Consider the following 14,316-nt stretch of genomic DNA (forward strand, 5'->3'; position numbering starts at 1 on the left):
TCTCTCGCATCCAACTACACTTTTCCACAAACCTTTCTAAATTGCTAAGCCCAATTCACACTTTTCTGACTTCTCCCTTCCTAAAACTCCTACTCTAGGTTTGGAATCACTTTTCCCCTGGTTTGGGAGATCATTCTTGAAATGCTGACTTTTGATACTTCTTTGCTATCATATCCCCTCCCTGGGTGGATTATTTACTACTTGGCTTATTTCTAGAGCTGTATTCCCATATTGTCTTCTCCAAACTCTAGATCTGTATTTCTAGCTATCTGTTAGAAATCTGTACCAATTAGTCCTACTTAAATTATTTCAACATTTCTCTGGCCTTTCTACCCCTTCTCTCCAGCCAATCCTACACATTAAAATATAATTATCTTTCTGAAATATACACTTAATTGTTTTTTCTCTGTTTGACAACCTGTGATGGCTTTCCATTATTTTTTTTTTTTTTTTTTTTTTTTTTTTTTTTTTTTTTTTGAGACGGAGTGTCGCTCTGCTGCCAGGCTGAGTGCAGTGGCGCGATCTCGGCTCACTGCAACCCTCGCCTCCCGGGTTCAAGCGATTCCTGCCTCAGCCTCCCGAGTAGCTGGGACTACAGGAGCGCGCCACCATGCCCAGCTAAATTTTGTGTTTTTAGTAGAAACGAGTTTCACCATGTTGGCCAGGATAGTCTCAATCTCTTGACCTCATAATCTGCCCTCCTCTGCCTTCCAAAGTGCTGGATTATAAGCGTGAGCCACCACGCCTGGCCGGCTTTCCATTCTTATAGTACAGCATTACATAGGGCCTTTCACACAATCTCCCTAATCTGTTTTACTAGATTCATCTCCCTCTGTTATCTCTCTTACTCTAGACATTTCGAATTTGTCACAATTCCCTGAACACATTATGCTGTATGCTCTCCATGTCTCTATGCTCTTTGTACATGCATTTTTTTTTTAAACTTAGAATTCCACTTTCTCCATCTGTCATAGTTCAACACCAGTTTATCTTCTGTTTTTTTCTAGTTCCTCTGGGGAACCAATGCAGTTTTGTCTGTTGTCAATATAGTATTTACTGCATTCTAATATGTTCTTTTATGTCTGTCTTTTCTACCGGACTACATTTTATTATTATCAAGACCTTTATTTTACATGAATCTTAACCATCTAATTTACTGCCTCCTATATAATAGGAAATGTTTTTCAACTTGGTATAGTATTCAGTTTACCAATTTTCACAGTCTCTCATTTAGTTCTCACAATAACCCTGCAAGGTAGATAGTATTATTCCCATTTCACACATGAAGAATTTGCCTTGTTTAAAAAATGTTAATTTGGAGGCCATTAGGTTGAGATAGTTCCAGCTCTGGAGCCCAACTCAATGTAAACAGTAAAATGAAACTTAAGCTTAACTAACAGAAACAGACAAACCTCTAACTAAGGACTTTCCACTTTAACCAATCAAGTAAGTATATTTTCTTAGTCTTGCTTCCACCAACCCCTTATAAAAGTTTTCCCCTCGTGCTGTAATTGCCCCTGTGTTCTTTTACACAGGGAAATGTGTAATTTCACATTTCCCTGTGTAATTGCCTGCTGCCTTCCAAAAAACCAATGCACTGAGAACTACAAATGTTGCAGCAGGGAAAGATGAATAATCACAGGGCCAGCCAACGAGGAGGATGGGAGATATTTCTCAAATCCACCTCCAAGAATGTAGAGACTAGGTTTTTAAAGGATCGGTTGGTGGGCAGGAGGCTAGGAAATGGGAAATGCTAATTGGTTGGGTCAGGGATGAATCACAGGTGTGTCAGAACTATCTTCGTGAACCTGAGTCATTTCTGAGGAGTGGGGTTCACAGGTCCAGGTTGTGTCTGTTGGTCTGCCAAAATGCTAAATTTGAAAAATATCTCAAAGACCAGTTAATTAGGTTTCACAATAGTGATGTTATCTGTAGGAGTACTTGGCGAAGTTACAAATCTTGTGACCTCTGGTTACGTGACTCCAGGGCAGGAGGCTCTATAGAAAAGCAAGCTAATTAGGCTGGGTGAGGTGGCTCACGCCTGTAATCCCAGCACTTTGGGAGGCCAAGGCAGGTGGATCACAAGGTCAGGAGATCGAGACCATCCTGGCTAACATGGTGAAACCTTGTCTCTACTAAAAATACAAAAAGTTAGCCGGGTGTGGTGGCACGCGCCTGTAGTCCCAGCTACTCAGGAGGCTGAGGCAGGAGAATCACTTGAACCCGGGAGGGGGAGGTTGCAGTGAGCTGAGATTGCGCCACTGCACTCCAGCCTGGCAACAGAGCGAGACTCTGTCTCAAAAAAAAAAAAAGAAAGAAAGAAAAGCAAGCTAATCAAACAATGCCAAGTTATTGTTTGAGCATGTCTATTCTTTAGCAAAGTTCAAGCCTCTACCATAATTCTAATCTTGTCTTATGAATGTAGCTTCAATCTCCATACAAGGAGTTGGGGTGGGGGGTCACTTTTCCTTGCCTCAAAGTTTAACTATAAACCAAATTCCTGGCATAGTTATTTTAGCCTCCACACTAGAATAAGCAAAAAACAAACTAACAATAAAACGACAACAACAAAAAACTAGTTTAGCCTGTGAGGTTTTGAGCAAAATGGAGTCAGTCATGTTAGATTTCTCTCATTAGTTATAATTCTGCAAAGGTAGTTTAAGTGCCCCTAGATGGAGTTTCACCACTTGTGGTTTGGTGCTGCCCAATTCATGAATCACTGTCTGCTCAACTGAACTGTTTAATACTTTAATGTGTGTTGTCTTTTAACAGCTTGATAGGAGGTTAATGCTCAGTAGATGTTATTGGTTACCTTAATGAATTAATGAATAACTGAAATAACTATTTTAATGTCACATAACTAGAACATAGTGCAGCTGGGACTAAAATTCTATGAACACTAAATTGGGTTCTTGATACTTTAAAAATAATTTTAATGTTTTTATGTGTTCAGCAGTTCAAAGGTTTAAAACAAATCATTTATGTCAACTGTCTGTCTGCATACAAATAACAATTCTGGATCCCCCTCCCATATGCCTGAAGGCATGAAGGAAAAATGTCCGTAATGACAGTAGTTCTCTCAGAGAAAATGCATGGAATAGTTGGGTAGCTGGACTAAACATCACAGTTTGTGTAAATTGAGGTAAACATCACAGTTTATGTTCTCAATATGATGTTTTCATTAAAATTTAATTTTAAAAGCCCTCAATGCACTGAGAACAGCATTAATGCAGATTATACAGGAATGAAGTTGGGGTCAATATGGTTCAGGGCTGGCAACTTAGTAGGAAAACCCAGGCAAACTAAAGAAAGGAATTGTAACAGGGATGGTATTTGGCTTGTGTGTGAAAGTGATGGTGACAGAATATTGTTTAGCATTTTTTTTTTAACTAAAATTCGCCACATAGACTCTGGTGCCAAAACTTTGGGCTGGTATAGCACAATACATACATGAAATAAAATATTAAAATGCATTGGAAAATGATAGAAATTTTACATGTACAGATCTTAGAAAATTGAGGCTACAAATATGTCCCCCATAAGGGGAATGTTGAAAAAACAAAGTCCATATATATAAGAAAAAAACCCATAAAATGTGAAATATGGGCTGGGCGCAATGGCTCACGCCTGTAATACTACCACTTTGGGAGACTGAGGCAGGTAGATTGCCTGAACTCAGGAGTTCACAACCACCCTGGGCAACACAGTGAAACCCCGTCTCTACTAAAATACAAAAAATTAGCCGGGTGTGGTGGTATGCGCCTGTAGTCCCAGCTACTCGGGAGCCTGAGGCAAAGAATCACTTGAACCTGGGAGGCAGAGGTTGCAGTGAGCCGAGATAGCTCCACTCCACTCCAGCCTGGGTGAAACAGCAAGACTCTCTCAAAAAAAAACAAGTGAAATATGAACTTCATCTTTAAGGATGGTTATCAGCTTCTAAATCACATTCGTCTTGCCAGTACTGTGGAACATGACAGAAAATGTTTCAAAGCTAATACATTTCAATTTCCCAAAAGATAATTGTTTTCAAGCTTTTGGTGCCCAAAGAGGAGAAAAACATTCTTCTAGTGCCAATACATTTAGTAAGCGTTTTTCTTGGCTTTTAGTGAGTTTTTTTGTTAAACATTTAAGGACACTTTTTCCTTTGTTTTCATATGCTTTGAAATATTATCTAGATAATTGCATAATTCATTAAAAGCTGGCTAATGTGAATATTCATTATGATTTTTATCGTCCCCTCATTGAAAGTTTATTTAATTTTTTTTAACCTTTTTTTTTTTTTTGAGACGAAGTCTTACTCTTGTCCCCAAGCTGGAGTGCAATGGCGCGATCTTGGCTCACTGCAGCCTCTGCCTCTAGGGTTCAAGCAATTCTCCTGCTTCAGCCTCCCGAGTAGCTGGGATTACAGGCGTCTGTCACCATGCCCGGCTAATTTTTGTATGTTTAGTAGAGACGGGGTTTCACCATGTTGGCCAGGCTGGTCTCGAACTCTTGACCTCAGGTGATCCGCCTGCCTAGGCCTCCCAAAGTGCTGGGATTACAGGCGTGAGCCACTGTGCCTTGCCGAAAGTTTATTTTTAAAAAGTAATAATAATGCATTCCTTGGTTTAAAATTCAAAAGACGTAAAGGATGCACATTTTCAAACCCTAACCACCCAGTTTTCCTCTCTGGAGGCTTATCAGTTTCTTGTGTTCTTCCCAAAGATTGTTTATACAGATGCAAGAAAATGTTAACATTGAATACTTACTCACCTTACTTTATATATCTTGGAAAACTCTCCATATTGTATGGGAAGAAGAAAGCTTTTCCTCTACCCTGTCATGTTCACTATTCAAGGGCCTATGAGTTAAACTGAAAAAAGACAGACTAACAGGAGAAAAATATCAATTTCTTATGCATAAAACAGCCAACAAAAGCAGCAGCTGACTAGTCAAATGATTAAAGTTAAAGGCTTATATAACTAACTTAGTAGGGAAAATGGTGGGGGAGAAACAGCTTTTACAGGGAAAAAAATAGAAACATTGACTTTTAGGAGAACAAATAAGAAAGTTTGTGTTCACGTTCATCTATACAGTTAGGAGTGGTGTTCTTCCGGGCCATAAGTTAGGGTATTTATGGTAGCATCATTCCCCAGAAATTTTGCTTTCAGTGAGATAAGGAACTCTCTGAGAAGGTTTTTTTCCCCCTTCATCAAATGCCTTCAGGTTAAAATAATATTTTTATACTAGCTCTGGGGTTCCTAGTCAGCCTCTGCAATATCAGTATACAAGGAGCATTCTTTTTTATAGATGGCCAAATTTTATGTGATTTTATGACTATAGCATTATTAATTCAGTGTTGTTTGATTTTTTTCCTAATCTTTCTCTGTAACAAACACTGCTCAAATAAATAACCTTGGACATCAGCATATGTCATTTATATGTATAAATTCAGTGTGAATATATGCTCACTTCCTAGAAGTGGAGTTACTGGGTCAAAGGACATGTGCATTTGGATTTCTATAGCCATCTTCTTTCAATAGACACTCCTACCAGTGTATCCAAAAATCTTATTTCAGTTGATGTACATATTCACTAGTAAGTTCACTAACTTTTCTCTATTTTACAGTAGAATACCTTAATGATGTCACTCCTCAAAGTGTCTTTTCTTTTTTAAGATTCATTTTTGTTTTCATTTTTTGTAGGGGGGGGGTCTCACTATGTTGCCCAGGCCAGTCTTGAACTCCTGGCCTTAGTGACCCTCCTGCCTTGGCCTCCCAAAATGTTGGGATTAGAGGCATGAGCCACCACACCTGGCCAAAAAATTTATTTTCTTAAAAAACCTACAAACATCCTACAAAGACATTTTTGAGTTATTTTGTTAACATTTTTCTTCTGTGCACCCTGGGCTACATAAGCGTAACTGGCCATATTCAGTACCAAGTGGTATCCTCTTCATTGGGCCTTATTGCCCTTGACTCTACTGAGTACCCACTTGCTCCCTTCCCTACTCCCTCATTCTCCCTTTAAAACATCCAATCACTGCTGTACAAATCAAGGTTGAATTCCTTTCACATTGGACTATTTTCCCTATTGCAGTAGTAAATTATGGATAAAAATGTGTCCCTACTGTCAGGGTTTGTTATCTTTGACAACAAAAATAAACATATAACTGCAAGTTATAATGAGTGATATGTAGTGTTAAAATAATTAAATTGGAGGCCATTAGACTGAAGTCGCTCTAATGCACTGAGTTCCTACATGAGGAAACTGAAACTTAAAACGGAATCACAAGTGGCCAACTAGTCATCAGTTATATCGTCTTGAACTTCCCACAAGAACAGTCCAAATAAGGCAACTGCTCAAACTTTAACCAGTCAAATAATTTCTTTGCTGTGCTCTGCATTTACTCTCTGAAAGCTTTCAACTACCTCTGGGGGAGCCCCAAACCACTTATGATTTGGAGCTGCCTAATTCATGAATTGCTGTCTGTTCAAATAAGCTCTTTAAAATTTTAATGTGCCAAAGTTTACCTTTTAACAGATAGGAATAGTACAGGGTGCACTGAGGACATATAATGAGGTGGGGGGCCAGAAGGAGTTGGAGCACTAATCTAGTATGGACTGGCAGAGAAGACCTCTCTAATAAAAGACATTTGGGTTAAGACCTGAATGATGAACAGGACTTTGGACAGTGAAAAGCAGAGGGACAAAGATTCCAGGAAGAGAGAATTGCAGTGAAAAGGACTAGAGACAGAAAGGAACTTGAAACACAAGTAGTCTTACAATAAACTTAAAATTTGACATAACCTAATTACTAACCAAATTACAACTTGATATAACCTAATTCCAATTTGATATAACCTTAAAAGCAACAGAACCTAATACATAATGATCCAAAGTCAAATAAGATATGGTGCCTACTCTAAGGAAGCTCAGAGGCAAATAAGTGAGATGTATTCCTATTCTCTATTCCTTTTTCATCATGAAAAAGAAATGGGGACAGGGATCAATACTTACTACCTAAATGAGCTTAAGCAAATTATTTAATCTCTTTAAAACTTGGATAATAGTATCTGTCCTGCCAATTTCAACTGTTAATATCTGTCAGGGTCCTTAAGTGCAAGGAACAGAAATCATCTATAAATGATATAAAAGCTGAAAATGAATTTATTAAAGGACATTAAGCAGCTCACAGACTCTCCCAGAAGCTGAAGAAACAAGCTAGAGGTTCTCCTCCCAATAAAGCCTCTGAGTACCTAACACTGCAGCTTGCAACAACACACTGATGCTGGACACTGGTTGCTGGTGATAGAACATTGCAGTCTCGGAAACGATGTAGTTACTGCGGCTGTCACCCTTACTTCAACAGACTCTCTGAAGTCCTGCTTCTGGTTGTCATTCAAGTTTGAGTTGAGTCCACCAAATTAGATTGGAGAGTCTAGCAAGCAATAATACTCATGTCCCAGTAATAAGGAAGACTAGGAAAGCCAGTATCTGTCACTTTCAGTTCCTGTAAGGGTGTTGGGGGGCAGGGTAAGGGAGAAACTCTGCCAAAAGGATGACAAATGGCCACTGCAAATAGGGTGAGCTCAAATGAGATAATTACATGAAAATGTTTCACAAACTAAGGGAGAATTCAGCCACATAACATTATCTCATTTTGTGTTGTATTGATTTTTAACTCCTCGAAGGCAGGCAAGTTGGAAATAATGTGTAAAATAATGTTAAAATCCCAATACATATGCAATCACATTTAAGCTGTTATCAATGAAGATTGGAAGGAAACATACAGTAAAAGTTATTTTATTAGAGAAGTGGGATTTAAGGTGAAGTAGTTCTTAAATTAAAAAAAAAAAAAAAAAGGACACTTTCCATTGAATTCACAGTCTTCCCCACAAACTTGGATCCAAATTCTAATGAAAGGAAGCTTAAAGACGCAAAGCTTCTGGTGAAAGCAGGAACGGAACAGTTGGTGCCAGAATCGCATCCATACTTCATGATGCGTTGTGTACGCTATGCCGTCCTAATAGGAAGGAAAACTACCACAAATTAGGAGTTTAGAAAATTGCACAATGCTGCCTACCACTTAACTTCAAATGTAACCTGTTAACAACGTTAGCCGACGTGAGGTTACCTAGGGACATAGCAAAACTCGCTAGAGTTACTTCAAGTAAGGCACACGGAGGTTGCTCTGATTATCAAGAAAACCAAACGTTCACATAAAATGTTTGTCTTCCAGCCGCCCCGCTGTTTTCCACTTTTTCCAAAAAGCACTGAAGCGTGGTGAAGAAACAAACATATCCTCAATTCTCGCGAGAGCTCCGTGTGTAACCAAGGGCTGAGGCGGAGGATTGGTCACTCAGGATGAGGAGCCTCCGCTATCCCGCCCCCGTTGCCGGGATACGCCGCGGCGCACGGCAGTTAGTGGGTAGGCCTGAGAGCCGAGGAAAACTGAGCGTGGGCCTCAGAAAGAAGTTAAGGCACCCGCGAGCCGGGCAACTGCCCTCCTTCCGCGCCGGCGGAGGTGAGAATCCCCGGGTCCCATCTCTTCCTCCCTCCCTCCCACGTCTGTTCTCTTGCCTTGGAGATGCTGATCCGCTCCAAACAAAACAAATTCAAACTCGGTCTTAGCTAACTGTTACCGTCGGGCCTGTAGCCAGGCCAGGCATGTACCAATTCTAGTCGAGCGAAGGTTGCGAACAGACCTCCTCCAACAGCCCGACCCCTCCCCGACCCCCCGCAGGAGACCCGCCAAGCACAGAGCAGAGGGAAGGACCGCGATGGGCTGAAGGATTTTAGTCAAAGCAATACATTTCTGCCTCTTACAGTGGAAGGGACTTATTTCTGTCTGTTGATCACAGTGCGGGCAGTTAGCAACTTTCCACTTATTCACCTGTGTGAGAATGGTTGGCTTAGGGAGGATAACGATAGTAATAATAATTAGAAGCAGATGTTTTAAATGTAATACTTATCGTCTTCACAACAGCCCTGCAAGGTAGATGTCACCCTTCTGTTTTACAGAAGATGAAATCCTGAGGGGTTAATTAAGGTGGCAAGATTATGCAGCCGCTAACTTTGTCAGCACTAGTTTGTATCGCTAATCATTCTGGATCCAAAGGCCAGGCTGCCTCTCTGTGTGAATAATTGGAAATTGTGTGACTCTTTGATTGAATAACCCCGAAGTTAGTGGTATATTTGTTGCTAATGCCCGCCTCTTAATCCCACTGGTAATAATATAATGGTAAGCTTTTTTTCACCACAGTAAAACGGTGGCAAAGAAAATTGGGTGAAATTTTTTATGTTGTACATTTTCTCAAAGTTAGCAGGAAACCTAGAGTAATATCTTTTCCACTGGAAAGAGATGTTTATTGTACTCGTTTTCTTCTGGAAAAACCATTTTGATCATACACCGTCTTCCTTTTCAAAGAGTCATTTCATGAAATTCCTTTTTCCATTTGAAATTCTTTTGCTTTGTACATAGAGTTCAAAATGGCAAGGAATTAGAATCAGGGAGCTAGTGGGGTCAGGAAGATTGATGTGAACATATTCAAATGAGATATCTGAATGGAAATTTCAGATAAACAATTGAAAACTCAAAATTGGTGCCCAGTTGAAAGGGCAGAACTGTAGACATTGATTAGTGAGCCGTACACATAGTTGGAGTTATAAAGATGCATGACTGTAGAAAGGATAGAAGCAGTCCAAGGACTGATTACGAGTAATGCTAAGAAAAGTCAGAAAAGTAGTACTGGACATAGAGTGTAGAAACAGAGAAATCATTTTAGTCCAACACACGCTTTGTTTGCCTTTTTTTTTTTTGAGACGGAGTCTTGCTCAGTCGCCCAGGCTGGAGTGCAGTGGCGCGATCTCGGCTCACTGCAAGCTCCGCCTCCTGGGACTACGCCCGCCACCACGCCCGGATAATTTTTTTTTTGTATTTTTAGTAGAGATAGGGTTTCACTATGTTAGCCAGGATGGTCTCCATCTCCTGATCTCGTGATCCACCCGCCTCGGCCTCCCAAAGTTCTGGGATTACAGGCGTGAGCCACCGCTCCCGGTCGCTTTGTTTGCTTTTTAACAATTTAGTAAATTTTTGTAATTGGCAATACCTTTATGTACGAGGAAATTTAAAAGATACAAGAGAGAACAAAGTTTTTGCTTATCACTGAGACAGATTTTGGGGATATAAAGATGATTAAGATTCAGCTCTTGCCATAAAGGGTGAGAAATACTTAAGCAGATCATTTCAAGTGGTGTGATAGGTTCTGGAATAAAGTAATACACAGGATGCATGGTAGCATGTAGAACAGGCCTATACACTGAAATTGAAGAAGACGAAGATTCCAAGACCAGTTATGGACTGGTCATGGAAGGATTCCCAGAGAAAGTAATAGGCAAAATGTGTGTTAGGCAAGGGGACCACTTAAGAGGCTGGTATAATAGTCCACCTGAGTCAGTGATGCCCTGAATTGGCCAGTGCTGTAGGAATAGAGAGTAAAGTACCTGTTAAACACTTAGGAACAAAATCAGTAGAACTAAACAAAACAAACTCAGTAGAACTATGTGACCAGCCATGGGAGTAAGGGAGAGGAAGATGTCAAGGACTAAATTTCTTACTTGTGTGACTAGGAGGTGACACCAAGAGGAAGGACAAATTTTGAGCAGATGATAATGAGTTTGGATTACATATGTTTATTTTGAAATATTTAGACATCTAAGTGGAGATGTTATTATTTGGATATAAACACCGCAAGCTGAGTGCTAAAATAAGGAAGTTGTGTGGAATCAGTTTATTAATTGTTAAAACCCTGAGTGTGGATAAGGGGGCCCAAGGGGAGTTTAGAGAGAGAAAAGAAAAAGATGGTGGATGGTATCTTAGAAAATGCTCTATATAAGGACAGATCAAGGAGACAGAAAAAAGAACCAGAAGAGAGGGAAGTGTCATGGAGATGTTTCATATAAATGTGGACACCAGTAAAGTAGGATGACATTTACAGCACTGGCAATATTGGCAGGGGTCATTTGAATCAAACGGTAGCAATCCAGGAGATACTGGGAAATGAAGCAGTAGAAAATAGTGGATATAAGCTATTCTTTTTGTTGTTGTTGTTGTTGTTGTTGTTGTTGTTGTTTTGAGACGGAGTCTCGCTCTGTCGCCCAGGCTGGAGTGCAGTGGCACGATCTCAGCTCACTGCAAGCTCTGCCTTCCGGGTTCACGCCATTCTCCTGCCTCAGCCTCCCGATTGGCTGGGACTACAGACACTCGCCACCACACCCGGCTAATTTTTTGTATTTTTTAGTAGAGACAGGGTTTCACCGTGTTAGCCAGGATGGTCTCGATCTCCTGACTTCGTGATCCGCCCGCCTCGGCCTCCCAAAGTGCTGGGATTGCAGGCATGAGCCACCGCGCCCGGCTGGATATAAGCTATTCTTAGGAATTTGGCTGCATAAGGGAAGGATGTATGGGACAGTTAGATAGAGGTGGTTGCAGGATCAAGAAATAAGTTTTTGAAGGTAGGAAAGAATTGAACATGGTAACAGACTGAAGGAAAGGAGAAAGTTTAAAGATAATTGGTAGCAGTGAGGTTAATGCCACAAAAAAGATGGGATCAAGGGTAAATCAGAGTAAGATTGATCTTGAATGAGAGAAGGAATGGCTGTTGAGACTGGAGGGCAGGATGGATGTAGAGAAGTTTATGTGCCCCAAAGGTGATGGAGTTCAAGTTGTAATTTTTTTAAATGAGTCATCTGCTGAGAGTGGCAGGAACAGAGGTTAAATAGAAAAGTAGTTAAGGGTGAGAATCATCAAGTAGAGAAGTATCTTAACAAGGATAAATCATTTCTGAAATGAGGGTCCAGCTAAGATTTGTGACTATCACTTTGCAGTACCCCAGTCTGTACAGTTGTATGATTTCCATCAGCAATGTTCAGCACTTCAGATTGGATGTAGAGAAGGGTTTCTGATTTTGCCAGATGGGCTGGAGAATAGTTCAAGGATACAAATTAGTTGATAGTGCTCATGAGACACTAATTTCTTGAGAGAAGGAGGAGAGTTCTTAAACACCCTTGTCAAGGTATCACTAGTGACTTCTTGAATGGGGACTCCATTGGACATTTCAGTTTTCATCTTACTTGAATTTCCAACGTAAATGGCATGGCTCAGATTCCTGCCTTCTCTTGGCGTCTCTGACACACACTCCTGGTTTTTTTCTTTGCTTTCTGGGCCTTAATTTTCAGTCTCTCATACTAGATTTTCCTCTTGTGTGTAATCTGTATGTATTGATGTTCCTCAGGACAGAATCTTGGGCACTATTCTCTTTTTCTCCATATTCTTTGTCTAGATAAGTATCTTCATAACTATTTTATATGACCTACAATAGGACATACATTTTTATATTGTAGCCCAGTAAACACATATGTGTAAATTTATGTAAATATAGCTGAAACAAAAATTTACTGAAACAATGTTTACCCTTCATATTTTCAGTGAGCTCTTTTTGTTTAAATTTTATTTCACGTTTAAGTATCTTGGTCATAACCTACAAAATTGTTTTCAGAACTTACTAACGGATGTGACCAACAATTTGAAAACTACTACTCTAAATTATGAGACAGAATTTTAAATAATGTTATATTCTGATGAATAAAGGAGAGGGCTGATAAACTGGGAGAGAATGAGTGAATTAAGGAAATGGTTTAAAGGCAGGTGTAGCAGAATGAAGATGAGAAAAGGGTAGGAGAGGAGAAGACCAGAGAATAGAGTATTTCAATTAAGATGTTTGAGGTGAAGCAATTCCAGATGATGACAAGCTCCATGTCTCGCCATGGCTATAAATTACTGAAATGGAGTTAAGATCATTGCTAAAGTTGAGGTCAGGGAACTGTGAAGCTGGAGTGTTAGGTATTGGATCTAGTATCTAGATGGAAGTCATCCAGGGTGATGGTGAGATTGGAATAGAGAAGCTGTGAACTAGGTACAAAAGACTTTAGTAAAGATAGAGGAGAGATTAGGAAGTCACTAATTACCAGCAACCAGGAAAGATCAAGGCAATATTGTTGCATTCCCAGATCCTCAGAAGAAGTGAATCTTGTTTTTTTTTTTTTTTTTTGGGTGGGGGGATGGAGTCTCGCTGTGTCGCCCAGGCTGGAGTGCAGTAGCGCAATCTCGGCTCACTGCAAACTCTGCTTCCCAGGTTCATGCCGTTCTCCTGCCTCGGCCTCCTGAGTAGCTGGTACTACAGGCACCCGCCACCACGCCCAGCTAATTTTTTGTATTTTTAGTAGAGACGGGGTTTCCCTGTGTTAGCCAGGATGGTCTCCATCTGCTGACCTCATGATCCACCTGCCTTGGCCTCCCAAAGTGCTGGGGTTACACGCGTTTGCCACTGCGCCTGGCCTCTTGTTAATTTTTTTAAAGGTGTGGAAGAATGTTTTGAAAGTGACCCTGAGGAGCAAGAAAAGTGCCACCTCCTTTTCTTTAAAATTGTGGGACAGGAAGCTAAAACACTTGGACTACCGAAAGTGTTACTCTCAGGGGAAATCAAGATTCTGTTAAAGTTAAGAAAATAGAAAGTATTTGTAACAAGATTCAGAATATAAGAGTTAATCATGGACCAGAAAGTGCAGAGAAAGGATTAGGGGCAAAGAAAGATGTTGGCTATGATGGGAGAGAAAATTTACCAGAGTATGGGATGAGAATACTAAAGAAATAGATAATAGAGGGGCTTGCATTTTGGTAAGATAATAGAAAGATGAGGAAGGAATGTTGCAAGAAACAATCTCATAGTTGTAAATGGAGCACGATGTCATATTTGAACAAAATTAGCCTTGTAGTGGTACACAGAACGGCAGTTTGCAAGAACAATTGTTGTGAATTAAATGTAAGGGTATGATGGGTCATTATTGTCTTGCTAGAGAAGACATCAAAGGATTGAACTATTTATTGTTTCCAAACAGCGATTAAAGTGAAGAAACAATGGCCAGCAATCACAAATCTTCAGCAGCTCGCCCTGTTTCAAGAGGTGGAGTTGGGTTAACAGGAAGGCCTCCTTCTGGGATACGACCCCTATCAGGAAATATTCGAGTGGCAACTGCAGTAAGTTTGAAACAAATCTATTTACTTTGGGAGGCCAAGGTGGGAGGACCACTTGAGTCCAGGAGACTGGGGCTTCAGTGAACTCTGATCATGCCACTGCACCCCAGTTTTTGAGTTTTTGAGACTGTCTCAAAAATCTGTTGAATGCTTGTGCATATATTGTGGTAGAAGTTGGAAATCCCCTCTGTAATAAGAGATTCTACTTTGTTGTTTCTTTATTTCATAAGCATATTATTAAAC

The 14,316-nt window shown here is 40.2% G+C and overlaps 1 protein-coding gene and 1 long non-coding RNA gene across 6 annotated transcripts in view, besides 3 other annotated features; one reads left to right on the forward strand and one right to left on the reverse strand.

Annotated features, from left to right (window-relative positions):
- Positions 1–14,316, forward strand: part of IFT74 (intraflagellar transport 74) — a 119,025-nt gene that overhangs the window by 902 nt on the left and 103,807 nt on the right. For 3 of the 5 annotated variants that reach the window (NM_001349928.2, NM_025103.4, NM_001099224.3), the window contains exons 1-2: positions 8,401–8,505; positions 13,938–14,076. In NM_001349928.2, the coding sequence (NP_001336857.1) occupies positions 13,957–14,076 (120 nt within the window). In that variant the 5' untranslated portion in view covers positions 8,401–8,505; positions 13,938–13,956. Of the gene's footprint in view, positions 1–8,400; positions 8,506–13,937; positions 14,077–14,316 lie in introns of those variants that run through there. The other 2 variants (NM_001099223.3, NM_001099222.3) reach the window with 1 other exon arrangement.
- Positions 7,613–8,348: an enhancer, noted in NCBI's record as "NANOG-H3K27ac hESC enhancer chr9:26955622-26956357 (GRCh37/hg19 assembly coordinates)". NCBI's record gives its function as "activates a minimal SCP1, AML or CMV promoter by ChIP-STARR-seq in primed H9 embryonic stem cells {active_cell/tissue: H9 hESC(primed)}" and the evidence as "EXISTENCE:reporter gene assay evidence [ECO:0000049][PMID:30033119]".
- On the reverse strand, positions 7,769–8,296 carry IFT74-AS1 (IFT74 antisense RNA 1). Its single transcript, NR_121605.1, has 2 exons — positions 8,116–8,296; positions 7,769–8,004 (listed from the first exon to the last, which is right to left on the reverse strand). It is a non-coding gene; the product is annotated as an IFT74 antisense RNA 1 (long non-coding RNA).
- Positions 8,349–9,083: an enhancer, noted in NCBI's record as "NANOG-H3K27ac hESC enhancer chr9:26956358-26957092 (GRCh37/hg19 assembly coordinates)". NCBI's record gives its function as "activates a minimal SCP1, AML or CMV promoter by ChIP-STARR-seq in primed H9 embryonic stem cells {active_cell/tissue: H9 hESC(primed)}" and the evidence as "EXISTENCE:reporter gene assay evidence [ECO:0000049][PMID:30033119]".
- Positions 9,680–9,974: a silencer, noted in NCBI's record as "tiled region #4046; HepG2 Repressive non-DNase unmatched - State 3:PromF". NCBI's record gives its function as "represses a minimal TATA promoter and a strong SV40 promoter by Sharpr-MPRA in HepG2 cells {active_cell/tissue: HepG2}" and the evidence as "EXISTENCE:reporter gene assay evidence [ECO:0000049][PMID:27701403]".

The sequence above is a fragment of the Homo sapiens genome, chromosome 9 (assembly GCF_000001405.40).
Source record: "Homo sapiens chromosome 9, GRCh38.p14 Primary Assembly".
NCBI lineage: Eukaryota > Metazoa > Chordata > Mammalia > Primates > Hominidae > Homo > Homo sapiens.